Raw genomic sequence first — 25,599 nt, 5'->3', positions numbered from 1 at the left:
CTTAGAGAAAGAAAATAAGCTTGGCTCAAATCACAGTTTGAGAGACAGAGAATTCCACAGCATTCCTAAAAGATTCCTAATTTCTTGAAGTTACAGGGCAGATACTACTGAAAAATCATCTCTTTCTCCTCAAATTGAGGCTTTTCCCTCAGACACCTTCTATTGGCAGAGCCTAGTATCAAATCAGCTGGCAAAGAAATAAAGGAGTTTGCAGAATTTAGATCTAGCACCACAAAGTAAGGAAAAGGCAAGTGGGTTTGGCTCTGAGAGACAATAAAATATGGGCTTGAGACAACCCTATAGCTGGAACATATAACCAGTTTGAAATTGAAAGAAGTAAATCCAATTTTAACTGGAAAAATATCATAGATTGCTCTGTGATTCATAAGAACTTTGACGTTTGTGTAGAAAGGGGTGAAAAGAAATTTATGATTTAAATACTTAGCTTTGTAATCATTTTTTTAAGTATAGAAATCATAACCTTAAAATAGTGATAAATGTAGATCACCACCAATTTATGCAATTTCAGAGATGAAAAATATTTTCTTGTTTGTTTGTTTGCTAGTCCATCTTACCTTTGGCATGTCTGGATTACAGAGTATTTGTATTAGTCTACCGAATTCAAGCCAAAATCCTTTATTTTGGGATTATGTGCTTACATGAGAGTAGAATAAGGACTTAAGGAGAGGTTGATTAAGTAAAGTCAATTTTGAAAAAATATTTAGCCACAAGATTGCTGTTTTTTTATTGGGCAAGTGTACTGACTCCTTGAGCTCTTGGTTGTCTTATCAACAAAAGTTTTAAGGTCTAGTAACTTTATAACTTCACACCTATGAAAGTACCTCATAGGATTGTCCCCACTTTATACTGGAAATAGAAGAGGTATCTGTCAGAATAATATAATCAGAACCACATTTCCAGTTACTTGTTTTATCAGTCAAGTGGTAAAGAAGAGAATAACAAAATTGTCTTTTAAGTAACCCTTATTACAAACTTTTAATTCTGAGAATATGTAGATGCACCAGTGTTTGTGGGTTTTATAGTAATGGGCCAGGTTATCATTTGTAGAGATTTTTCAACTGTCATTTTTAAATGTATGAGAAATGTCACAATAGAAGATTTGGAGAGTATTAAGCTCATTAAAAGGCATAGAAGAATTGGACAGTATTTAGCTCATTAAAAGGCAGAAACAGTAAAATACTAAATATCTTTTTAAAAGATTTAGCTGTAGCACTTGTGAATTTCTAAGTTTTCAAACTCAATTATTTTCACATCCATATTCATGATGATGTAGTTTATCTGTAAATGCTACCCACTAGGTTTATTTTGGATGCTCTTGCTAACACCCTGACAAGCACTGAACTTGTAAAGTCGTCTTTACAACTCAGTAATGTGGAACAAAAGATTTGGCGTGGGGATAGGGAGAAGGCAAGAAAAAAAATGATACTGAGGGAAAGGGTCAGATATTAATGTTCAAATATCAACAGGAAAAGATTTCAGTGGTCAGACATGAATCAGAAATTTGGGGAAATAAAAATCACAAAATACACTAGTGATTGGGGCACAAGATATTTAATTCACTGTGTTAAATTACACAGTTATTTCAGAGAAGAAAAAAATTTCCAACTGTATTAGAAATATAGTTCTCAAAGATTGTTTGAGATGTTTCTCAAAAATTGAGATATACTTATCAAAGATTATACCTTAAAAGGGTGCATTTGCCTCTTTATTTAAAGAAATGGATATGTCTAAGATCACTGAAGGATTAATAATCATGCCTTTTGACCTAGGACTTCAGTTTCGATTAGTGTATTTTCTCTCATTTCTGTGAAAAGAGAGACATTATGATAGAATGATAAAAATATTAAACATGAAAACTAGATTTTGGTGACTTTTAGGGCAATCTCTTTAGATACAACTTAATTCAATCAACAGGAGGGCATAGGGAAACCTACTCCGCTTATTAATTTAATTTTCTATTTCTCATGTCACCATTTTTTCAGCTTTTTCTTTTCAAAATGCTGACATTTGGGATAGATGTTTGTGTACGTGAAAGAAAGAATAGAAAGAAAGAATTTGTCTAATGTTTAAAACTGATCATAATCTGTAAAATAGTTTCTTTTTGCAATCAATAACATTAGTAACATTTTAAAAAGTACATTCAAATATGTCTAAAAGTAACAATATCAGTTAACAATTATATCACCAATTTGTTCATTAAATTGGGGAAGTGAGAAGTTTGGATTATTCTTCCATTTTATATTACACTTAACAGAATAGATGACATGTGTAAACTCTTTCTGTGTTTAATTTTTTTAAGAAGAAAAGTGAATTTTTAAAATGATTAAGAAACAGTTATCACACCAATGTTCATCATGAAACTGGTCCAATTTTTCCATAGAACTGAAATTTGAGAAACTTAAATTTGTCTTATCTGAGTTCCTTTGACTGCCAGGTCTCCTGGGTGGTAGTGGGGAACTAAGGCTTTCCAGATCACCACACCAGACAGTAAGATATACCTGCTGCCTGTTGATTGGCTTGTCTTTCTTACTTCTCTCTAATTTCCATTTTCCACATGTGATTACAGAGAGATGCTAGACCCCCTCATTTGACTACCTGATGCCTGTTGACCAACTCCTTTTCCTTAACCCTACTGTTTTCCTTCCATGCTATATATTAATAAAGCTCCAACTTTAGTCAGGGGAGAGAGATGGATTAGAGACTGGTCTTCCGTCTCTCTGGCTGACATCACACATCATAATGCCTTTCTTCTCTTACAATACTCCTTGTTTCAGTTATTGGCTTTCTGTGCAGGAAATAACAGGACCTAGGCCAAATACCTGGCATTCGGCAGCAATAGCAGCATTATTCACAATAACCAAAAGGTGGGACAGCCCAAATGACCATCAACAGATAAATGAATGACAAAATGTGATTTATACATACAATGATATATCCAGTCATCAAAAAGTATAAAGTTCTGACACATAGTATACCATGGATGACCCTTGAAAACATGCTAACTGAAATAAGCCAGCCAAAAAACGACAAATACTGTATGGTTCCACTTGTATGAGGTACCTAAAGTAGTCAAATTCATGGAAACAGAAAGTAGAATAGTGGTTCTCAGGGGCTGGGGGAAGGAGGAATAGGGAGTTATTGGTTAATGTGGTTTTCTCTTTGGGAAGATGAGAAAGTTCTCAAGATGAATGGTGGTGATGGGCACAACAATGTGAATGTGATTAATGCCGCTGAACTGTACACTTAAAAAATGGTTAAAATGGTAAATTTATATATAGTTTTAAATTTCAGCTTTTATTTTTGATACAGGGGATACACATGCAGGATTGTTAGATAGGTCATAAGTGTAGTACCCAATAGGTAGTTTTTCAACCCATGCCCCCCACCCTCCCTCTCTTCTCTAGTATTCCATGGTGTTTATTATTCCCATGTTTATGACCATATGTGCTCAATGTTTAGCTCCCACTTATAAGAGAGAACATGTGATATTTGGTTTTCTGTTCTTGAGTTAATTCACTTAAGATTATGGCCTCCAGCTCCATCCATATTGCTGCAAAGGACATGATTTCATTATTTCTATGGTTGCATAGTGTTTTATAGTATATATGCACATTTTCTTTATTCAATCCACCATGATGGACACCTGGGTTGATTCCATGTCTTTCCAGTGTGAATAGTGTGATGATGAACATATGAGTGCGTGGTTCTTTTTGGTATAATCATCTATTTTCCTTTAGGTACATGTCCAGTAATGGGATTACTGCCTGTGTTTTAAGTTTTTTGAGAAACTTCCAAACTTCTTTTCACAGCAGTTGACCTAATTGACATTCCTACCAACAGTGTATAAGCATTGGTTGTTTTTTGACTTTTTAATATAGTTATTTTGACTGGTATGAGATGGTATCTCATGGTGGTTTTGATTTGCATTTCTCTGATGATTAGTGATGATGAGTGTTTTGTAATATGTTGGTTGGCTATTGTATGTCTTCTCAGAGAAGTGTCTGTTCATGTTCTCTGCGCATTTTTTAGTGATTTTTTTTCTTGTTGATTTGTTTAAGTTCCTTATAGATTCTGGATATTATTAGACCTTTGCATAGTTTGTAAATATTTTCTCCCATTCTGTAGGTGGTCTGTTTATTCTGTTGATGGTTTATTTTGCCATGCAGAATAAATGTTAAATTTCAGTTCTTTAGTTTAATAGGTCCTTTGCAACAAAAATGAAATTGACAAATGGGACCTAATTAAAGAACTGAAATTTGAGGAACGAATTCCCCAAAAGCAATTCCAAAAAAAAAAAAAAAAAGTGAAATTGGCAAATGAAATTAAATTAAAGAACTGAAATTTCTCATGAATTAGTTAGTTTCTCATGAACTAGTTTCTCAAATTTCAGTTCTTGAGTTTAATTAGGTACCATTTGTCAACTGCATTTTTTTGTTGTTGTTGCAATTGCTTTTGGAGAATTAGCCAAAAATCCTTTGCCAAGACCGACGTCAAGAGCAATATTTCCTATGTTTTCAACTAAGATTTTTATAGTTGAAGGTCTTACATTTAAGTATTTAATCCATCTTGCTTTAATTTTGGTATATGGTGAAATGTAAGGGTCTAGTTTCATTCTTCTTCATATGGCTAGGCAGCTATCGCAGCACCATTTATTTAATAGGGAATCCTTTCCCCATTGCTTTTGTTGACTGTGTTGAAGATTAGATGGTTGTAGATGTGTGACATTATTTCTGGGCTCTCTATTTTATTTCATTAGTCTGTTTTTGTAATAGTACCTTGCTCTTTTGGTTACTGTAGCTTTGTAGTATAGTTTGAAGTTGGGTAATGTGATGCCTCCAGCTTTGCTCTTTTTGCTTAGGATTGCCTTGTCTATTTGAGCTCTTTTTTGGTTCCACATGAATTTTAAAAGTTTTTTCTAATTCTGTGAAGAATTTCATTGGTAGTTTGATAGGAAGAGCATTGAGTCTGTGAAATGCTTTGGGCAGTATGGCCATTTTAATGATATTTATTCTTCCAATCCATGAGCATTGCATTTTTTCCCATTTATTTGTGTCACATGTCATTTTTTTCAGTAGTGTTTTGTAGTTCTCCCTATATGGATCTTTCACCTCCTTGGCTAGCTGTATTCCTAAGTATTTCATTTTGTTTGTGGCTATTGTAAAAGAGACTGTGTTCTGGGCCGGGTGCGGTGGCTCACGCCTGTAATCCCAGCACTTTGGGAGGCCGAGGTGGGCGGATCACAAGGTCAGGGGATCGAGACCATCCTGGCTAACACAGTGAAACCCCATCTCCACTAAAAAATACAAAAAAATTAGCCAGGCGTGGTGGCGGGTGCCTGTAGTCCCAGCTACTCAGGAGGCTGAGGCAGGAGAATGGCGTGAACCTGGGAGGTGGAGCTTGCAGTGAGCCGAGATCGGGTCACTGCACTCCAGCCCGGGCGACAGAGCGAGACTCCGTCTCAAAAACAAAAGAGACTATGTTCTGGATTTGACTCTCAGCCTGGATTTTATCATTCTACAGAAATGCTACTGATTTTTGTACATTGAGTTTGTATCCTGAAACCTTGCTAAAATCGTTTATCAGTTCTGGTAGCCTTTTGGCAGAGTCTTTGGGGTTTTCTAAGTATAGAATAATATCATCAGCAAAGAGAGATAGTCTGACTTCTCCTTTTCCTATTTGGATACTTTTTATTTCTTTCTCTTGTCTAATTGTTCTCTCTAGGACTTCCAGTATTGTGATGAATAGGAGTGGTGAAAGTGGGTGTCCTTGCCTTGTTCTAGTTCACAAGGGGAATGGTTGTAGGTTTTGCCTTTTCAATATGATTTTGGCTGTGAGTTTGTCATAGACAGCTCTTATTATTTTGAGGTATGTTCCTTCGATGCCTCGTTTGTTGAGAGTTTTTTTCATGAAGAGATACTGGATTTTCCTGAAAGCTTTTTCTGCATCTATCGAGATGATTATATGGTTTTTGCTTTTAATTGTGTTCATGTGGTGAATCACAATTATTGATTTGTGTATATTGAACCAACCTTGCATCCCAGGAATAAAGCTTACTTGATCATGGTGAACTAACTTTTTGATGTGCTGCTGGATTGGCTTTGCTAGTGTTTCGTTGAGGTAATTTTTAATCTATGTTCCTCAGGGATATTTTCCTGAAGTTTTCTTTCTGTGTTGTGTCTCTGCCAGATTTTGGTATTTAGCTGATGCTGTCTTCAGTTAGGGAGGAGTCTCTCCTCCTCAATTTTTTGGGAACAGATTGAGTAGGATTGATAACAGTTATTCTTTGTAAATCTGGTAGAATTAGGCTGTGAATCCTTCTGGTCCAGGGCTTTTTTTGTTGGTAGGTTCTTTATTACTGATTCAATTTCAGAGCTTGATACTAGTCTATTCAGAGTTTCAATCTCTTCCTCATTCAATCTTACAAGGTTGTGTGTTTCCAGGAATTTATCCATTTTCTCTAGGTTTTCTAATTTGTGTGCAAAAAGTTGAATAGTATTCTCTGAGGAGCTTTTGTATTTCTGAGGGGTCAATTGTAATGTCATTTTTGTCATTTCTGATTGTACTTATTTGGATCTTCTCTCTTTTTTGTCTTTGTTAATCCAGCTAGCAGTCTATCAGTCCTGCTTATATTTCTGAAGAACCTATTTATGGCTTTATTGATCTTTTTAATTTAAATTTATTTTTTATTTTCATAGTGTTGGAGTCTTGCTATGTTGCCCAAGCTGGTCTCAAACTCCTGGTTTTAAGCCATCCTCCCACCTCAGCCACCCAAAGTACTGGGATTACAGGCATGAGCCACCATACTTGACCTCATAGATCTTTTGTATGGATTTTTCCATCTTAACTTCATTATGTTTTTCTCTAATTTTAGTTACTTATTTTCTTATGCTAGCTTTGGGGTTGGTTTTCTCTTTTTTTTTTCTAGTTTGTTTAGGCTCAAAGTTAGTTTGTTAATTTGAGATCTTTCTAACTTCTTGCTGAAAGTCTTCAGGGGTATAAATTTTCCTCCTAACATTGCTTTGGGTACATCCCAGGGATTTTGTTAAGTTGTGTTCCAATTATCATTAATTTCAAAGAATTTTTTGATTTCTGACTTAATTTCAATGCTCACACACAAGTTATTTAAAATCGAATTGTTTAATTTCTATGTATTTGTGTAGTTTTGAGAAATCTTGATATTGAATTCTATTTTTATTTTACTGTGGTCCACAAGTATGCTTGCTATGATTTCAAGTTTTTTAATTTACTGAGATTTTCTTTATGATCAAGCAGGTGGTTGATCTTAGAATACATTCCGTGTGCAGATGAGAATGTATATTCTATGGTTGTTGGGTGGAGTGTTCTGTAGATGTCTATTAGGTTCAATTAGTCAAATGTTGACTTTAAATCCAGAATTTGTTTGTTAGTTTTCTGTCTTGATGATCTGTCTGATGCTGTCAATGGGGTGTTGAAGTCTCCCACTATTATTGTATTTTTGGCTAGGCCTTTTTTTTAGGTCAAGAAGAACTTGTTTTATGAATCTGGGTATTCAGTTGTTAGGTGCATATATATTTAGGATAGTTAAGGCTTGTTGTTGGATTGTACCCTTTATAATTATGTAATACCCTTCATTGTCCTTAATTTTTATTGGTTTAAAGCTTGTTTTTTTTCTCATATAAGAATAGTGACTGCTGCTCTCTTTTGTTTTCCATTTGCATGGTAAACCTTTTTCTATCCTTTTATTTTGAGCATGTGGGTGTCATTACATGTGAGATGAGTCTCTTGAACAACAGATGGCTGAGTCATTTCTGTTTACCAAGATTGCCACTCTGTGTCTTTTAAATGGGATGTTTAGCCAATTTACATTCAAGTTACTATTGATATGTGTGATTTTGATCCTGTCACCGTGTTGTTAACTGGCTGTTATGTAGACTTGATTGTCTAGTTGCTTTATAGTGCCTGTGGGCCATGTGCATAAGTGTATTTTTGTGGTAGCAGGTGTTCTTTTGGTTTCATGTTTAGCACTCCCTTCAGAACCTCTTATAAGGCTGGTCTTGTTGAAACATATTCCCTCAGCATTTGCTTATTTGGGAAGGATTTCATTTCTCTTTCACTTACGAAGCTTAGTTTGGCAGGATGTGAAATTCTCGGTTGGAATTTCTTTTCTCTAAGGACACTGAAAATAGGCCCCCAATATCTTTTGGCTTGTAAGGTTTCTGCCGAGAGGTCTTGTACTAGCCTAATGGGGCTACCTGTACATAGCTTGACCTTTCTCTCTAGCTGCCTTTAAGATTTTTTCTTCTGTGGTGACTTCAGTGAATCTGATGACTATGTGCCTTGGGGATTGGTCCTCTTGTATAATATCTAGCTGGGGTTCTCTGTATTTCTTGGATTTGCCTGTCAATCTCTTAGTGAGATGAGGGAAATTTTCACAAACTGTATGCTCAAGTATATTTTCCAAGTTGCTTATTCTCTCTCCTTCTTGCTCAGGAATGCTAGTGAGTCATAGATTTGGTCTCCTTACATAATCTTATATTTCTCAGAGGTTTTGTTCATTCTTCTTAATTCCTTTCTCATTATTTTTGTCTCACTGAGTTGACTCAAAGAACCAGTCTTCAAGTTCTAGATTCTTTCTTTAGCATGGTCTATTCTGTTGTTAATACTTCCAACTGTATTATGAAATTATTATAGTGAGTTTTTCAGCTCTAGAAGTTCAGTTTAGTTCTTTCTTAAGATCGTTATTTTGTAGCCTGAATAATATGGCAAAACCCTTTCTCTACAAAAAAATACAAAAAATCAACTGGGTGTGGTCACGTGTACCTGAGCCTGGCAGGTTGAGGATGCAGTGAGCCCTGATTGTGTGACCACACTCCAGCCTGGGTGACAGAGTGAGACCCTGTCTCAAAAAAAAATAAATAAATAAAAAATGATGGCTATTTTGTCTTTCAGCTCTTGGATCATCTTACTGGATTCTGTGGATTCTTTTGATTGGTTTCAACTTTCTCCTGAATCTTGATGACTTTGCTTGCCATCCAGCATTTGAATTTTATGCCTGTCATTTTAGCCATTTTAGAATGGTTAAGAACTATTGCTGGGGAGCTAGTGGACTCATTTGGAGGTAAGGGGACACTCTGGCTTTTTAGATTGTCTGAAATTTCTTGTGCTGATTCTTTCTTATCTGGGAGAATTGGTGTTCCTTTAACTGCGGTTTAAGTTGAGTATATTCAGTTGGCTTCATTTCTGGATGCTTCTAGATGGCCAGGGCTCTGTAAAGGAACTTTATATTTGGGTCAGTTCTTGCCCTTGGTTCCACAGGTGTATATATTAGTGGGATAAACTTTTGGTGTTGTAGGTTGGGCTGGAATCCGGTAGATGGCACTTAAGAATAATGGCCAGTAGCTAAGCTAATACCCAGTAATGTGACTCTTTTGTACTACCTTGTATCACAGGCATGCTCTGTGGTGGCAGGGGAGAGAGACAGCCCCCTCACCAGTCCACTCTTGGGCCTTGGGGGAGCCCCTCTGATGGCTGGTGCTGTACCCACATTTTTTTGTTAGGTGCTCCATGTGGTGGGGTCTCCTTGGGCAGAGGCTGTGGTAGGGAGATATGAACATAGTCTCTGAAATGGCCTTGAGGAGGAAAACACACTCTGTTCCTTCTCTGCCCCAGGAACCCATGCATCTCACCCTTCTCAGTGTTCTGAGGATGGGGGCTCCTTCTCCACTTGAGTGCCAGCCACAGATCTTGGCTTTGTACTATTGAGCTGCCCGCTACAGTCCTGGGGGCACTGGGATGCTGGCTTGGGTCTGGGTTGTGTTAGTGGTGAGGGATCCAGTGTGTTCCAGGGTCCTCAGGAAAGTACTCAGGTGCAGTGACTCACTAAGTGTGGGCTGCAGGGGCTGCACTGTGCACCCACTCCTGCAGGGAAGCTAGGCATAGACCCTATGAGGGAACAGCGGGCAGAAGAGCTTGCAGAGCAGATGCCCCCAGTCCTGTGGTGAAGCTGGCCCCCCTTCTCCTGGCTTAGAGGTCAGCTGCGGTCTGCACCTCCTGGAGGGGAATGGCGAGCCCTGGGGGATGGGCCTCTGTCCTCACTCTCTGCTGGAGAGCCTAGTGTACAAAAGCTCCCAGGCTCCATGCCGTCCAATGGCCTGTCTCTGCACGCTCTCTAGGGAGATCCCCCACTAGAAGTCCATGTCCATGGGGATACAGAGTCCCCTGTAGCTAGGATTCCAGAGGTCTGCAGCAAAACTGAGCTGTCCCTCAGTTCCCTCACTCACCCCTTTCTCAGAAGCAATTGGAGCTGGAACTAGCCCTGGCATTCAGGTATCCTACACAGGATTCCCAGCTCCATCCCTCTTCTGCCTTGGTTCCTGCATCACTTCTCCATCCACCCTCAGCATTTTCTCTCTGAAGATCTGCCCAAATTATGGTGGTTTACTCGATAATTCGGTCTCTCTCAGTAGGAGTGGCATTTTTGGGACTGCATCTAGTTGGTCACTTTGTGTTCAATTTGAAGAATGTTTAGGACATATTTTGCTGGACAGCTCTTCAAAGCACACTGCTGAGCACTTCTACTGGGCCCATTTTGAGACTGAAATTGTAGAGCTTTTGTGAAAATAAATGTGAGCTAAAAGCTTGAATAGACATTCTCATTTCAATATTTGTCATTTAAAGTATCCTTCATTATTATCAATATAAAGTGAAAATGCCATACCCACAGTCGTGCTGCCAATCATTTTCTCTACTGAGCTAAAGACTCACAGAAATGGGATTTTTATAGTAGCCTCCAGAGACACTGAAGTTACAGTGCTATCTGCAACCCAAATAGGAATGTATCTACCACTGGCAAAATGAATTAGTATGACTAAAACTCAAATGAATCCCATTTCTACCCCCTGCTCTCTTCCAGAGTACTTATCTTATTTTATTGTTATTGCTTTATAAATTTCCTGCCTTTGACATTGTAAGCTAAGCAAGGGAACAGTCTATATATACATTATTTTACATTGTTTTCACAGTATTTAGTACAATGTCTGGTTCATGGTAAACTATTAATCAGTATTTGTTGAATGTGTGTGTGTGTGAATAATAAAATGAATCATACCATGATCTCAGTTGCTAAAACAATGCACTATTAAATGGAGGGCAAAAATTTTACACTAGAGAACTAAAGCCCATAATATGAATAATCAAATGATCCACTTTCAAACAATGGTGAATGACTGAGCAAGCAATATTTAACCTATTGGGAAATTTTAAAGTTTAGTAATTAATTAATCATCCTTCAAAAAGCACTTATTGAACACCTATTATGTACTAGTTCCTGGGATAAGCTCTAGGATAGTAGTTTCTAACAGAAGCAGTACTCAACTCCCACTCCCATCCCCAGTTGTGTTTTGCAATTTATTTGATTTTTCTTTTTGCTGTCTATCATGATATTTGGTGGCCAGGAGCCAAACATTCTAGATATCTTACAATTTGTAGGATAGTCCTTCACAATGAAGAACTATTCCAAGTTCCACAGGATTTTGAAATATTTTGCAAGACATTTAAGTGCCATATTTCACTCAATGTAAGATACCATTGATTTTAAGATGTACTATAATTGTATATATAACTGAGAAGGAGGAACACTGCAAATTATACTCTGACACAATTCCTTCAGTATAGTTCTGCACAACACACACATCAGTCTCAACAGCTCTTGCTCTTCTGAAATTTCTTTTAACTACTCTGAGCAACCTACAAATACTCCTCCTTTTTGTTACTCAGATGGATCTACAAATTCTTCTGCCTTCTGTTGCAGTGAATGGCATACAATAGTTAATCTTTGCATATATTTCATTATGAAAATGTAAGACATTTATTCATGGTGTCTTCTTTTTTTAATTAAAAAAATGTGCTCTGCCAGGTGTGGTGGCTCATGCCTGTAATCCCAGCACTTTGGGAGGCCAAGCTGGGTGGATCACAAGGTCAGGAGATCGAGACCATCCTGGCTAACACTGTGAAACCCTGTCTCCACTAAAAATACAAAAAAAAATTAGCCAGTCGTGGTGGCGGGTGCCTATAGTCCCAGCTACTCGGGAGGCTGAAGCAGGAGGATGGCGTGAACCCGGGAGGTGGAGCTTGCAGTGAGCTGAGATTGTGCCACTGCACTCCAGCCTCGGTGACAGAGCAAGACTCCATCTCAAAAAAAAAAAAAAAAAAAAAAAAAAAAAAAAAAAAAAAAAAAAAAAAAAAAAAAATGTGCTCTAGCAGTTCGAGGTTCCTCTGGGAAAAAATATTGAATGATAGTTATTCTTCCAATGACAAATACTTTGTAATTTCAAAATGATGTCCACTTTCCTGCTTCCACGCTTGTGAATAATTATTTGTATTGATGCTGCTTCATAATATAATCTCTTTAAATGACATTTTATATAGCAATTAAACTCAACACATGTAATACCTGCAAAGCAGATAACCCAATTGAAGTGATGAGGATATGAACAACTGATCAAGTTTCCTCATCTTGGCTGCAACCTGATTGAAAGAGACTGTAAGAAGCCATTGACTGTAAGATGAATTTTCTAATTTCAAAAAGATTAAAATGTGTCTAGAGACAATAGATGAAAGATTTGTTTTTGTAGTTATTTGAGTCCAGAGTCCAACTCCATTTAACTCAAATATGCTGATTTTTTTCAAGAATGCAAATATACTACGTAAATTGCGATAAGATTACCCTTTGCTTTGTTCAGTCTCTTTAGGTTTGAGTCTTTTAGGTCACATACCTATAACTGCATTAGGAGCTACTATATTCGACGTGATTCTTCATATAGTTGCAAACATCTGACTAATTTAAGACTTGTCTTCATCAATGATTTAGTCTCATTTATTATACATAATTTTCTTATTGCTCTTATACTATACTGAGGGCATTTTGTTGATTTGAGAACAGAATGCTGATTTATAATATTTATAGAAATATATAAAACATATTTCAAAAGACTATAGCTACATTGTATATTGTGATTGATAGTATTTAAATACTGCTAAAGTGATATTGTTTATACAACACTTGAAATTCACTCACCTTCTTCATACAGATGTAGGTTTGAAATGCATGCATTTTTTAAGGGTATATAAACTTTCAATCTTCTTATCTTTTTCATACTGCTAGAATTTTTATACATTCTTAATCACATTAATGGTATTGTTTTTCTAAAAAGGTGAGCCTTTTTTACTAAAAGAATTATCCCCAGTGGAAGCTGTTTTTAATGATGCATAGTAACTGATAGGATACTAATGTGGTTTTGACCTAGTTCTTTTTTCATTTGAAGCACAAATAAAAATCTCACCAGGGTAGTCAGACCATCTCCAAAAGACTGATCAAATCCTGAAAATATGCAAAGGCATTTCAGACAAACATTTCTAATTTTAATAGTTAGATGAATGCCATGACCTTTAATCTGAATATCTTCAGCTTTAACATCACTAATTATCTTAACTTTTTTAATGTTCTGAACTTGTAGAAATGTCTAATTAATTTTCAGTGGCTCAATGAGATTTAGGTATATATGAGCATCTTCCAAAATATGTAGAGTCACTTGGCTTCAGGTCTATGATGTGTGGGATCATGTGATGCTAAAAAGCACCAGGGCCCCACGTTTCCTGACCCCTGGTAAAGTTCACTACCCACCATCAAACTGGCAACTGACATGACACCAGAACGATCAAAGGGAGATTTTTTTGACTTCTAAGCACACTTGATGATTCTTTTGTCATTGTGGTTGGTTTTCATTGTGTCAATAACTTTTGGCAGTTGGTCTACTCCTTAACCTGAATAATCAGGATTAATCTCTCTGCATTCTGTCTCCAATGTCTCCACTGATGTCTTACATAAGCTGGTTCCAAATATGCATCTCCTGGTGGGGAACCCGAGACTGCCCAAAAAGATTTTGAGATCCATTGGCATTCCAGATTTTTACTCCCTTGGAGGCAATTACTTAGCATCTGTGGATAAATCGTATATATAACATAGTACCACAGTAACTCCTCCAAACACCTCTGCAGGATACATGTTTGGTTGCCAGCAAAGAAAACTCTTCTGTTCAAGGCACTGCATGCTGAACATGCACAGGGTGTTAGTGAGTCCTCCTGAAGCCAGGGCAGAATGTGCTTGATCTTCTCTGGGTACTGCAGTTGGCCTCAGAGATGCAGCCCTGGCTTCTGGCCCAAGAAGGTGAATGTCAGGAATCTGTGCTACACTCTTGCTGCAAAAGCCATCAGGCCTCTTGGTATTTGAAGCATGTTTTTATGTAGGATATATTAACTATGGATTTCATTTTAGGAGAGTAAAAGGACTAAATATACTTATAAATAGGAGGGCTTGGTCTGATAAGATTGAGAACCACTGAACATAGATATGCTATTTCGGCTAATAGTTCATTGAAGAGTAGACATAGACAATTGCTGCAAAATGGGAAAAGTGTGGCGATAGCGGTAAGCACACAGTGCTATAAAAGCACACAGGAGGGCACTTAGGATGGATTGGGGAAGGGCCGGGCAGGGCTCCCTAAGGGAGGTGATTTTTGAGCTGACCTATAGAAAGATTTGGAGTTATCTAGGTAAATGAGGGTTATTCTAGTTAGATGAAAAATGCCTTGGTGGTGTGAGATGACATAGCATTTATAAAGATCTACAAATGGATGAAGTAGTTGAATCAAGGGAAACAGTAGTGTTTTGATTGGATAAGATGCCAGGTTGTTCACAGGCAATTATTGCTCCTGCCTCCTGAGACTCCATTAAAATGAAATAAATCATTTCCCCTTTCCTCTGACTCCCATGTACAGTCGGTGTAAATCCACAGAGAAAAAGGGAATGAGAGAGGGGATGTTAGTAGATGAAAGATTGTTATAGTTTGTGAATTTAGGAAGTTCATAGAAGCAGAAATGTTATTTAAAATATTTAAAAATAAGTACGATGCAGGGCCCAAGCAATCAGAAAGAACTGCCTGTTGTCGTGCAGAAGAGTTTCCTGGAGACCCTCTGCTGAACCAGTTGTGTGCTGCACAGTCTCTGTCACCCCTTGGCTTATCTAGATGTACTCTTCACTAAGCTTTTAGAGCTGAGAGGACTCCCTTGCTTTTTGACTACCTGATGGTTCAGCTAAAGGAGGCATCAGGGGTATCAGGATCATTATTCTATTGGTTCTTTCCCTGCTGAGCCATGGTTTTGTGTGCCTTCTATCCTCTACCTAGGACCACAGTTTCTGTAGGGTAATCCATTCTATAGCTATAGCTTTGCTTAGCTGCACCAACAGTTTCCTTTCTTGCCTCTTCAGGCTTAGAGGAGGTAATAGCTTTCTAATCTTGATGATTCTGGTGTCTTGTCCCATCCCTTGTTTGTTGGTTTCCCTTAACCCTCTTCATGCTGCTGTAAATGCTCTCTTCATTAAATCCTTCAATGCTCCCATTTTCTGTGCACCATCTGCTTCCTGTGAAGAGTCGTGTGGGTGCATGTGAAAAGGGGGTTTCCCAGGGAGAGGATGTGGTGGGGGGTGTGTGTGTGAGGGATTCTGGAGAGGTAGCTAATAACCAAGAAGGACAATAGTATTTCTGTTTCATGAACTGTCATGGCTAACCTGGTGAATGTCAGTTAGATATCAGTTCTGGATAGGATAAAAACTATGTACTTATCAGTGTAGAAGCTTATACAGAAGAAGAAGGGCTTTTTTTTTGGTCCCCCCAAATGCACAAAGGGTCAGGATGGTATATATTTCAGAATATAGGAAGTAAAGTCCAGAACTAAAAATGGTACAAACAAAGGAATGGCTTACACATCTGAATATGGAACTGGAATCTCAGCTCTTATTTCTATCCAATAACTAGTTGAACCAATAACTAGATTTGTAGCTTTCAGACAAAAGATTGTAGGTTCTTTTTCTATAGGAATTAAATAGTGAATACTTGAAATTAAGGGAAAATTTAGTAATATTGATTGAAGAGCTGCACTCAAGGATGGTTGATCTCTATTCCTTTGTTCCTATCTGGCCTTTGTTGCACATATTCCAATCAGGAGACAGGAGAACTCTTCTGGAAAATAGAATGGCTTCAGGGAAAATTCTTCACATATTGATGTTTAGAAATCGCCAGTGAAAATGTGGTTCCCACTGGGTCAATCCATAGTGAAACATGTGAATTGACATACTTCATCCATATTAGAAAGCTGCCTGTTAGCTTTTTAAGCTTTCATTTTTAGTATGTACTCAAACCAAAGATCTCTTGGCATAAAAGTAAAGCTAAAGACAAACAAATAAAATAAACATACAGAGAAAGTGCCCACAGCAAAAAAATGCATAAATCAGAATTAACCTCTCCCAAATAAAAATTTCACAGCTCCAACTAAAACTTTAAGGTTTGTGAGAACATGCTGTAACTATTAAAAAGTCCCAGAAAACAACTTTAAAAATTAACATACAGGTAAATTAAAAAATCAGGTGGCTAGAATTATAAAAAAGAAGGTTTGGAACATAAAGTCAAGAAAATTTCTCAAAATACAATAAAAACAGAGGTGGAGGCCAGGCATGGTGGCTCACACCTGTAATCCTAGCACTTTGGGAGGCTACGGCGGGCGGATCACCTGAGGTCAGGAGTTTGAGACTAGCCTGGCCAACATGATGAAACCCCATTTCTTCTTAAAAAAAAAAATTAGTTGGTTGTGGTAGTGCACACCTGCAGTGCCAGCTACTCGGGAGGCTGAGGCATGAGAATCATGGAGGTGGAGGTGGAGGTTGCAGTGAGCCGAGATCACACCACAGCACTCCAGCCTGGGTGAAAGAGCGAGACTCTGTCTCAATTAAAAGACAAAAAACAAACAAAAAACAGAGGTAGAAGGCTGGGCGCTGTGGCTCACACTTGTAATCCCAGCACTTTGGGAGGCCGAGGCAGGCGGATCATGAGGTCAAGAGATCAAGACCATCCTGGCTAACATGGTGAAACCCCCACTCTACTAAAAATACAAAAAATTATTCAGGCGTGGTGGCATGTGCCTGTAGTCCCAGCTACTTGGGAGGCTGAGGCAGGAGAATCACTTGAACCTGGGAGGCAGAGGTTGCAGTGAACTGAGATCATGCCACTGCATGCCAGCCTGGCAACAGAGTGAGACTCTGTCTCAAAAAAGGAAAAATGAATAAATAAAACAGAGGTGGAAAATATTAGAAAAAAGAAGATACTTAGAAGATAAATATAGGAAGTTCCACATCTGACTAAGCTCCAAAAAGAAAGAAAAAATAATGAAAATGGAAGAAAGGAAATGATAAAAATGAAATACAGTAAAATATCTTAGAATTGAAGTATATTAATATCCAGATGTAGAAGCCTTACCAAGTCGCCAGTGCCAAGAATGGAAACGACCCACACGAGGACACTTCATAGTGAAACTGCAGAGCACAGACATAAAGTAAATTTCAGAACACAGATATAAATACCTTCTGAGTGTTAGAAAAAAAAGACACATGTAAAGGACTAGGAATCAGAATAGTACCAGACATCTCAAAGAAAGTCTAGGAACAATGACAGAGTAGAAGATGGTTTTCAAAATTCTAAGGAAAAGCTCACTCTATCTATCTATCTATCTATCTATCTATCTATCTATCTATCTATTCCTCCATCCATCCCTCTCTCTCTATATTAATCCATCCATCAATCCATTTCATTATCTATGTATGTATGTATGTATATCTATCTATCTATCTATCATCTATCCATCCAGCCACCCTCTGTCTGTCTGTCTGTCTGTCTATTGGTCTATCATCTATCATCTATCTATCTTTATGTATCTTACTGAGAACTTGATACTTAACAATGAAAAGAACAGATGAAGACCTCCTCATGGAACCTTTGTTAAGCGATTAATGGAGGGTGTGTTCCAGCAAAATACGGGAATAAATCAAGTAAGAGGAAAGCATAAGCTTTGCACAGTGGGAGTATGGTAGCCAGTGAGGTTTATTCCAGGTGCAATTATTGCTAATTGATAACGTTTCCCAATATCCCACCATGACAACTTGAAACATAGTCGGTATTGGCAATTTTTGACAGTCTCTAGTGACCAAGATTTAAAAAAAGACAAAGAAAGAGGCAAACATAGAATCTAGGGAAGCATGTCTCTAACAAAGGAGAGTAGCAAAAGAAGTGCCTGGCTGAAAACCATTCAGAGGGCCTAGAGAGCAACCATCCTTGTTCAGAGCAGGAGAATGAAGGCCCCCATGATGCAGAGCTCCATCCAGAAAAAAAGTAGACCCAATGGAATAGATGAAATTGTCGGTGGTAACTTAGAGATGAAGGAAAGTATTAACAACATTTAAATGAAAATTAGGCAAGCAAAAAAATAAGAATTTTTAAAAAGGTGACACAATAGTGAACAAAAAGCTCTACAAAAAATAATGTATCGATCCTCTTCCTAAGCTGGCGCTCAGCAAGGAAAAGGCCATATTCAGTTCCAGCGCCAAGATCATGAAGCCCAATGACGAGAAGCCGGACGAGCTCAAGCCCAGCATCTCCCAGGCTCTTCTGCAGCTGGAGATGAGCTCAGACCTCAAGGCTCAGCTCAGGGAGCTGAATATTACGGCAGCCAAAGAAACTGAAGTTGGTAGTGGTCGGAAAGCTATCATAATCTTTGTTCCCGTTCCTAAACTGAAATCTTTCCAGAAAATCCAAGTCCAGCTAGTAGCGAATTGGAGAAAAAGTTCAGTGGGAAGCATGTTGTCTTTATCACTCAGAGGAGAATTCTGCCTAAGCCAACTCGAAAAAGCTGTATGAAAAATAAGCAAAAGCATCCCAGGAGCCGTGCCCTGACAGCTGTGCACGACGCAATCCTTGAGGACTTGGTCTTCCCAAGTGAAATTGTGGGCAAGAGAATCTGCATGAAACTGGACGGTGGCCTGCTCGTAAAGGTTCATTTGGACAAAGCACAGCAGAACAATGTGGAACACAAAGTTGAAATTTTTTCTGGTGTCTATAAGAAGCTCACGGGCAAGGATGTTAATTTTGAATTCCCAGAGTTTCAATTGTAAATAAAAATGACTAAATAAAATATTTTCACAGTAAGAAAAAAAGAAAATAATAATAATGTTGTGATAACTTTTTCTTTGCAGCGAGTTATATTTTCTGAATCAGATTATATGGATTCAACTAAAAGTAGCTTTTAACTATATTTAAGAAATAAGAGAGAGGAGGTGAGAGTATAGAAGTTAAATGCACGTGTGTCATATATGGAAATTTAAAGATAAAGTCTGAAGTATTGATAAATCTAGATAGAGAAGTATATACCTATGTAGAAGAGACTTCTAGAGGTCGCCCAGAAGCTGTCTCTCCTTGTCCAACAGGAGGCTTTGGCACATGGCTGGCCAGTGCAAGCAGTACTTCTCCACCCTCCAGGCTGGGATGAAGTTTTGGCTCATGAGTTGTACATACACGTTTCAAGTGACAGCACCTGAAATCCTTCAAGGAACAGCATGTCCATGTGCCCTTTGCCTTTTTGTCTTTGTTTATTTTCCCCATCTTGATTTCTAAAACATAGATTCTACCTCAGACTGTGAGGACAGAGGCTACATTCTAGTGGCAGTGGAATGTGAACTGGGAGAAGTCTGGCTCTTTATACTGCAAGTCTTTTATGTAAGAGAAAAACTCAAAAACAAAAACCCTGTTTCTCTTATTTGAGGCATGGCTTTGAGCTTGTCAGAGCCAAACCTAAACTCTTTTAGCATAGTATGAGAAATATGAAGGGAACATCAGGAACCAACTGAAATGATAAAAAATGGTTGTCTCTGGAGAGTATATTTGGCACTAAGGAGGAACAAAGGAAGGAGCTACTGTTTTCCATTATAAACTTCAGTAATAATAAGCCGAATATGAAATTGCTATTTAGTAGACTGAAATTGGTTAAATATCAGTGATTTACTATGCTTCAATCTAATATATATATTTTAAACCAGGTGCATGTATTGGTATGATTAAAACATCTTTGAATACAAAAGAAAGAGGAGACTGGGTAAGTAGACAGGAATCTAATCTTGAAAGACCTGCTATGTCATAGAGAGGGTCTGTGGTTTAACGTGATCAGATTGGTGTTTTGAAGATGATTCCCAAAGTAAAATGGAGAATATACTTTATAGTATAGCTCCATTGTATAGTAGCTATAGTAAATAATTTTAAAAGAAGCCTTTATAAAGCAATCAAGGCAACAAATAATGAAAACTAAACTAAGGCTGTTGCAGAGAAGATCAGGTTAAGAAATATGTTATCAATCAGAGAAAGAGAGCAGGAGATGGAAGAGAGGCAGTCTGGCAAAGTGGTAAAGAATCTGAATCTGAAGTCCCTTGGACTGTCCGTTATCCTGTGTGGCTTTGGCAAGGTTCTGTAATCATGCTGTGCTTCCTGTTCTCATTTATAGAATGGGGATAACAATTGTACCTCCTTTATAGACTTGTAGTGAACATTACATGCAAGAGCACATATGAAAATCATACAGAAGTGGTGAGAGTGCACGTTCTTGTCTTTTTCTGCTTCTCAGGGGAATGCTTCCAGCTTTTCCCATTCAGTATGATGTTGGCTGTGGGCTTGTCATAGATGATTCTTGAGTACACATGGACACAAAGATGAGAACAAGAGACACCGGGGACTACTAGAGGAGAGAGGGCAGTGGGGAGGCAAGTGTTGAAAAACTAACTGCTGTGTACTATATTCACTACCTCGGTAATGGGATTATTCATACACCAAACCCCAGTGGCACGCAATTTACCATGTAACAAACCTGCACATGTACCCCCCAAACCTAAAACAAAAGTCAGAAAAAAAAAGGAAAAGTAACAAACTCCCTGGTGCAGAATAAATACTGAATAAATGTGAGCTACTATTATTACTACAGGTCGCTTCATCCATTGGAGGAAGCTCAGGAGAATGCACAGCCTGGGCAGTAGGAAGATACTAAACTCCATTCTGGAATGTGGCGTTTGAGCTACTGGCTAGATCTAAGAGGATTTGTCTGATAAAGAAGATTGACAGGACAGAAGTTGTGCTACAAATAGGATTCACTGGGACCCACGTGGAACTTGAAGCTATGGGAATGAATTCGTTCTACATCTAAGAGGAGTATGTAGAGTGAGGAGAGAGAGGGAAAAAAATAGAAACACCAATATTTAAGGAAAAGGGAGGCCTCCAAAGAAATTAAGAATAACAAACCAGAGATTTGGGAGAAGGGCAAGTGGGGAACATTGGGAAGTAACAATTTGCAGGAGTGTTTCGGCATGCCCAAACTGGAACTGGATGTAGACAGGTCCCTTGGCTTTAGCAACTAAGTGGGTGATCACCATGTTGGTGGTCCGAGGAGCTCAGGAGTCAGAGGGCAGAAAGCAGAGGTGCTGCCAAGCATGATGAAAGCAAACTGAGCCACTGGGAGCAGACTCTTCTTTCTAGAAGCTTGTCTGGGAATGAGAAAACTGGAAGAGATTTGACAGTGTTTGCACATGTAAATAAATAAGACTTCAGAGAGGAAGGAAAAAAACATAAAATAAATAGCACACATGAGAAAGCAGGGACCCTGAGATCTGTTCTTTTCTGATTTTCCATTTTGCCTTCTCAGATAAGTAGAATGTGTGACAACAAAAAGACGAATTATTATTCTTGGCACTTAATTATGTAAGATCTGTTTCAAAGCCTCATGGGAGAGTGTTTTGTCCTGTTATATATTCTTTTTCAGTATGCTTTCCTAAAAAGTAATAACAACATGTGCAAAGAAACACTGAGAGAGAAATCAATCTGAAACAACATCACGTCTAGAGATTATTTTCTATGCCCAAACAGAAATAGCTCTTTTTGATAGCTTTTCCTATTAACATGCCACTTTTAGAAAAAATAGGAAAGTGCTGTGCTTCACAGTCGGAAAACTGCTTTCTATTTTAACTCCTTCAAAAAGGTAATGAGTAATTTCATCTGTCTACAAAACTAGATGCGTGTGTATGTGTGTGTTTAAAAAGTCCCGGAGGTCAAAATAAGTCTTTATATAATCAGAAATTTTGTGATCTTTCAGTAGAAAACAATCACGAATAATGGAATAAAATGTGTTTTTTGATCTCAGGATGTGACAAAAGGCATTTCTTATAGCAAGAAGTAAAGGCAGATAGCCACTGGAAGGTGGCCGCTGTGCTGTGGTCTCTGTTCCTGCAGCCTTGTTTAGTAGCCACTATAAATAGAAACAGTGCGGGCATAGGAGAACGGATGCACTTTTGTACATCAGCATCAGACTGCTCCCAGGAATTGAATGGCCATTGTAGCTGAGCATAAGAACTGAATAATTCTTCTTAAATGATTTTCAATGCATATACTGCTCGACATGTAAGGGAGTGGTTGTTTACATGTATCACTTTGAGAGAACTGAAGAAAAGCTCAATAAGAAATTTGCCGCAACATGGATCAAACTGGAGGTCATTATGTTAAGTAAAATAAGCCAGGCTCAGTTTATTTGCATGTTCTCACTCATATGTGGGAGCTAAAAGAAATGAATCACATAAAGGTAGAGAGTACAATGGTGGTTACAGAGGCTGGGAAGGGTAGCACGGATGAAGAACACTTGGTTAAGGGGTACAAAAATACAGTAAGATACAAGAAATAAGTACAGTGTTCAATAGCACTGTAGGGAAACTATAGTTAACAAGAATTTATTGTATATTTGAAAATAGGTAGAAGAGACAATCTGCAATGTTCCCAACACACACACAAAATAATTGTTTGAGGTGGTGGATATCCTAATTACCCTGATTTGATCTTTATGTATTGTGTGCACATATCTAAAGAAAACCCTCATGTACCTCATAAATACATGTAACTATTACATATCAATTAAAAAATGATCATCATCATCACCAAGCACATGTCTTTCTAGGCAAAAATACTGTGATCTGTGTTTCTTGTATGAGTTCTGATTATGCTCCAAGCACTATGGTATGCCCTTTAAAAAGCATTTAACATTTTAAATATTTATGATCCTATGCCATAAATACTAGTATTACCCCGTTTAGCAGGGAAATAATTTTAGACTCAGTTAAATGACTTCTTATGTTTTGACATTTGGTATGTGAGATTTAAAGCTACTACTGGAGAGAGCAGTCTTCCTCCAGTTTGAGAATTGAGTGATATTTTGGGGATAAAACAAGTAAGATATGAAGAAAATATTTAGAGGCACTAGTCACTTATTAAAAGGGAATTATGTCTAATAAATTTTCATCTTGACTAAAATACTCAGTAAAGTACTGCTATTCTGACTGTATTTGCAGCCACATATATGCATATATACATATATATGTATATGTATATACTGTTTGACTAAACTCTATTAGTATTTTTGCAATGTCTTTCATTTTATGAAATTGATGTTTGCCTCAAGAGTTGTAGGCTATTTTTTTTTTTGCTAGTTGTTTATAGCTTTATTTGCAAAGGGCCCTATCTGTAAACATGAGGTAAATAATTGTTTTATATTATCAAAGAGGACAAATGATTATTTCCCAAATAAACACACTTACATTTAACTAGCTGTACAAATAGGGAACTGAGTGTTCCAAACCATGTGACTAAGATACGAACTAAAGAGAGTATTATGGCACATGGTACCACTAGAGATGGGACCACTCTCTGGCAAGAGGGTGGAGCCAGCATGTGCCTAGGATATTCACAGCCTAGAGGCATGCAATCTCATGAGCTCTTCTTGCTAAGGATTATTTAGCATAGATTTGTATGATTCCTACTATGTTTCTATGATTCCAAACCTTTTAAAGAATATTTTTATACACTTCCTATGGTCTCCTAAGAAAGTTTAATGACTATATTCTCTTTTATTTCTTACGAGTTATTTCTGCATTATTTCAAACTTACAAAAAGATGAGAAGAGCACACAGAATTTCTGTTATATGTACTTTTACCCAGATACACAAATTGCTTAAATCTTGACCCCATTTACTCTCTTATTTTAACTTATGCTTTTTATTTTTTTATTTTATTTCCCTTTTTATTTTATTTTATTTATTTTTATTTATTTTATTTTTTTAATACACTTTAAGTTTTAGGGTACATGTGCACAATGTGCAGGTTTGTTACATATGTATACATGTGCCATGTTGTGCTCCACCAATTAACTCATCATTTAACATTAGGTATATCTCCTAATGCCATCCCTCCCCACTACCCCCACCCCACAACAGGCCCCAGTGTGTGAATGTTCCCCTTCCTGTGTCCATGTGTTCTCATTGTTCAGTTCCCACCTGTGAGTGAGAACATGCGGTGTTTGGTTTTTTGTCCTTGCGATAGTTTGCTGAGAATGATGGTTTCCAGCTTCATCCATGTCCCTACAAAGGACATGAACTCATCATTTTTTATGGCTGCATAGGATTCCATGGTGTATATGTGCCACATTTTCTTAATCCAGTCTATCATTGTTGGACATTTGGGTTGGTTCCAAGGCTTTACTATTGTGAATAGTGCCGCAATAAACATACGTGTGCATGTGTCTTTATAGCAGCATGTTTTATAATCCTTTGGGCATATACCCAGTGTATATACCCAATGAGATGGCTGGGTCAAATGGTATTTCTAATTCTAGATCCCTGAGGAATCACCACACTGACTTCCACAATGGTTGAACTAGTTTACAGTCCCACCAACAGTGTGAAAGTGTTCCTATTTCTCCACATCCTCTCCAGCACCTGTTGTTTCCTGACTTTTTAATGATTGCCATTCTAACTGGTGTGAGATGGTATCTCATTGTGGTTTTGATTTGCATTTCTCTGATGGCCAGTGATGATGAGCATTTTTTCATGTGTCTTTTGGCTGCATAAATGTCTTCTTTTGAGAAGTGTCTGTTCATATCCTTCGCCCACTTGTTGATGGGGTTGTTTGTTTTTTTCTTGTAAATTTGCTTGAGTTCACTGTAGATTCTGGATATTAGCCCTTTGTCAGATGAGTAGATTTTGTCAGATGAGTAGATTGCCAAAATTTTCTCCCATTTTGTAGGTTGCCTGTTCACTCTGATGGTAGTTTCTTTTGCTGTGCAGAAGCTCTTTAGTTTAATTAGATCCCATTTGTCAATTTTGGCTTTTGTTGCCATTGCTTTTGGTGTTTTAGACATGAAGTACTTGCCCATGCCTGTGTCCTGAATGGTATTGCCTAGGTTTTCTTCTAGGGTTTTTATGGTTTTAGGTCTAACATTTAAGTCTTTAACTCATCTTGAATTAATTTTTGTATAAGGTGTAAGGAAGTAGCTTGATGGGGATGGCATTGAATCTATAAATTACCTTGGGCAGTATGGCCATTTTCATGATATTGATTCTTCCTACCCATGAGCATGGAATGTTCTTCCATTTGTTTGTATCCTCTTTTATTTCTCTGAGCAGTGGTTTGTAGTTCTCCTTGAAGAGGGCCTTCACATCCCTTGTAAGTGGAATTCCTAGGTATTTTATTCTCTTTGAAGCAATTGTGAATGGGAGTTCACTCATGATTTGGCTCTGTTTGTCTGTTATTGGTGTATAGGAATGCTTGTGATTTTTGCACATTGATTCTGTATCCTGAGACTT

The 25,599-nt window shown here is 37.7% G+C and overlaps 3 pseudogenes, besides 2 other annotated features; 2 read left to right on the top strand and 1 right to left on the bottom strand.

The window, feature by feature from the left end:
• Window positions 13,416–14,190, bottom strand: TYMSP1 (thymidylate synthetase pseudogene 1; annotated as a pseudogene).
• Window positions 15,326–15,415: an enhancer, noted in NCBI's record as "active region_24844". NCBI's record gives its function as "activates an Ori minimal core promoter by ATAC-STARR-seq in GM12878 lymphoblastoid cells {active_cell/tissue: GM12878}" and the evidence as "EXISTENCE:reporter gene assay evidence [ECO:0000049][PMID:35858748]".
• Window positions 17,310–17,369: an enhancer, noted in NCBI's record as "active region_24843". NCBI's record gives its function as "activates an Ori minimal core promoter by ATAC-STARR-seq in GM12878 lymphoblastoid cells {active_cell/tissue: GM12878}" and the evidence as "EXISTENCE:reporter gene assay evidence [ECO:0000049][PMID:35858748]".
• On the top strand, window positions 17,951–18,089 carry RNU4-70P (RNA, U4 small nuclear 70, pseudogene; annotated as a pseudogene).
• RPS7P8 (ribosomal protein S7 pseudogene 8) lies at window positions 18,435–19,086 on the top strand (annotated as a pseudogene).

Source organism: Homo sapiens, chromosome 6 (assembly GCF_000001405.40).
Source record: "Homo sapiens chromosome 6, GRCh38.p14 Primary Assembly".
Taxonomy (NCBI): domain Eukaryota; kingdom Metazoa; phylum Chordata; class Mammalia; order Primates; family Hominidae; genus Homo; species Homo sapiens.
The sequence above is the reverse complement of the archived record's forward strand: the minus strand, read 5'-3'. Positions and strand labels throughout refer to the sequence as shown.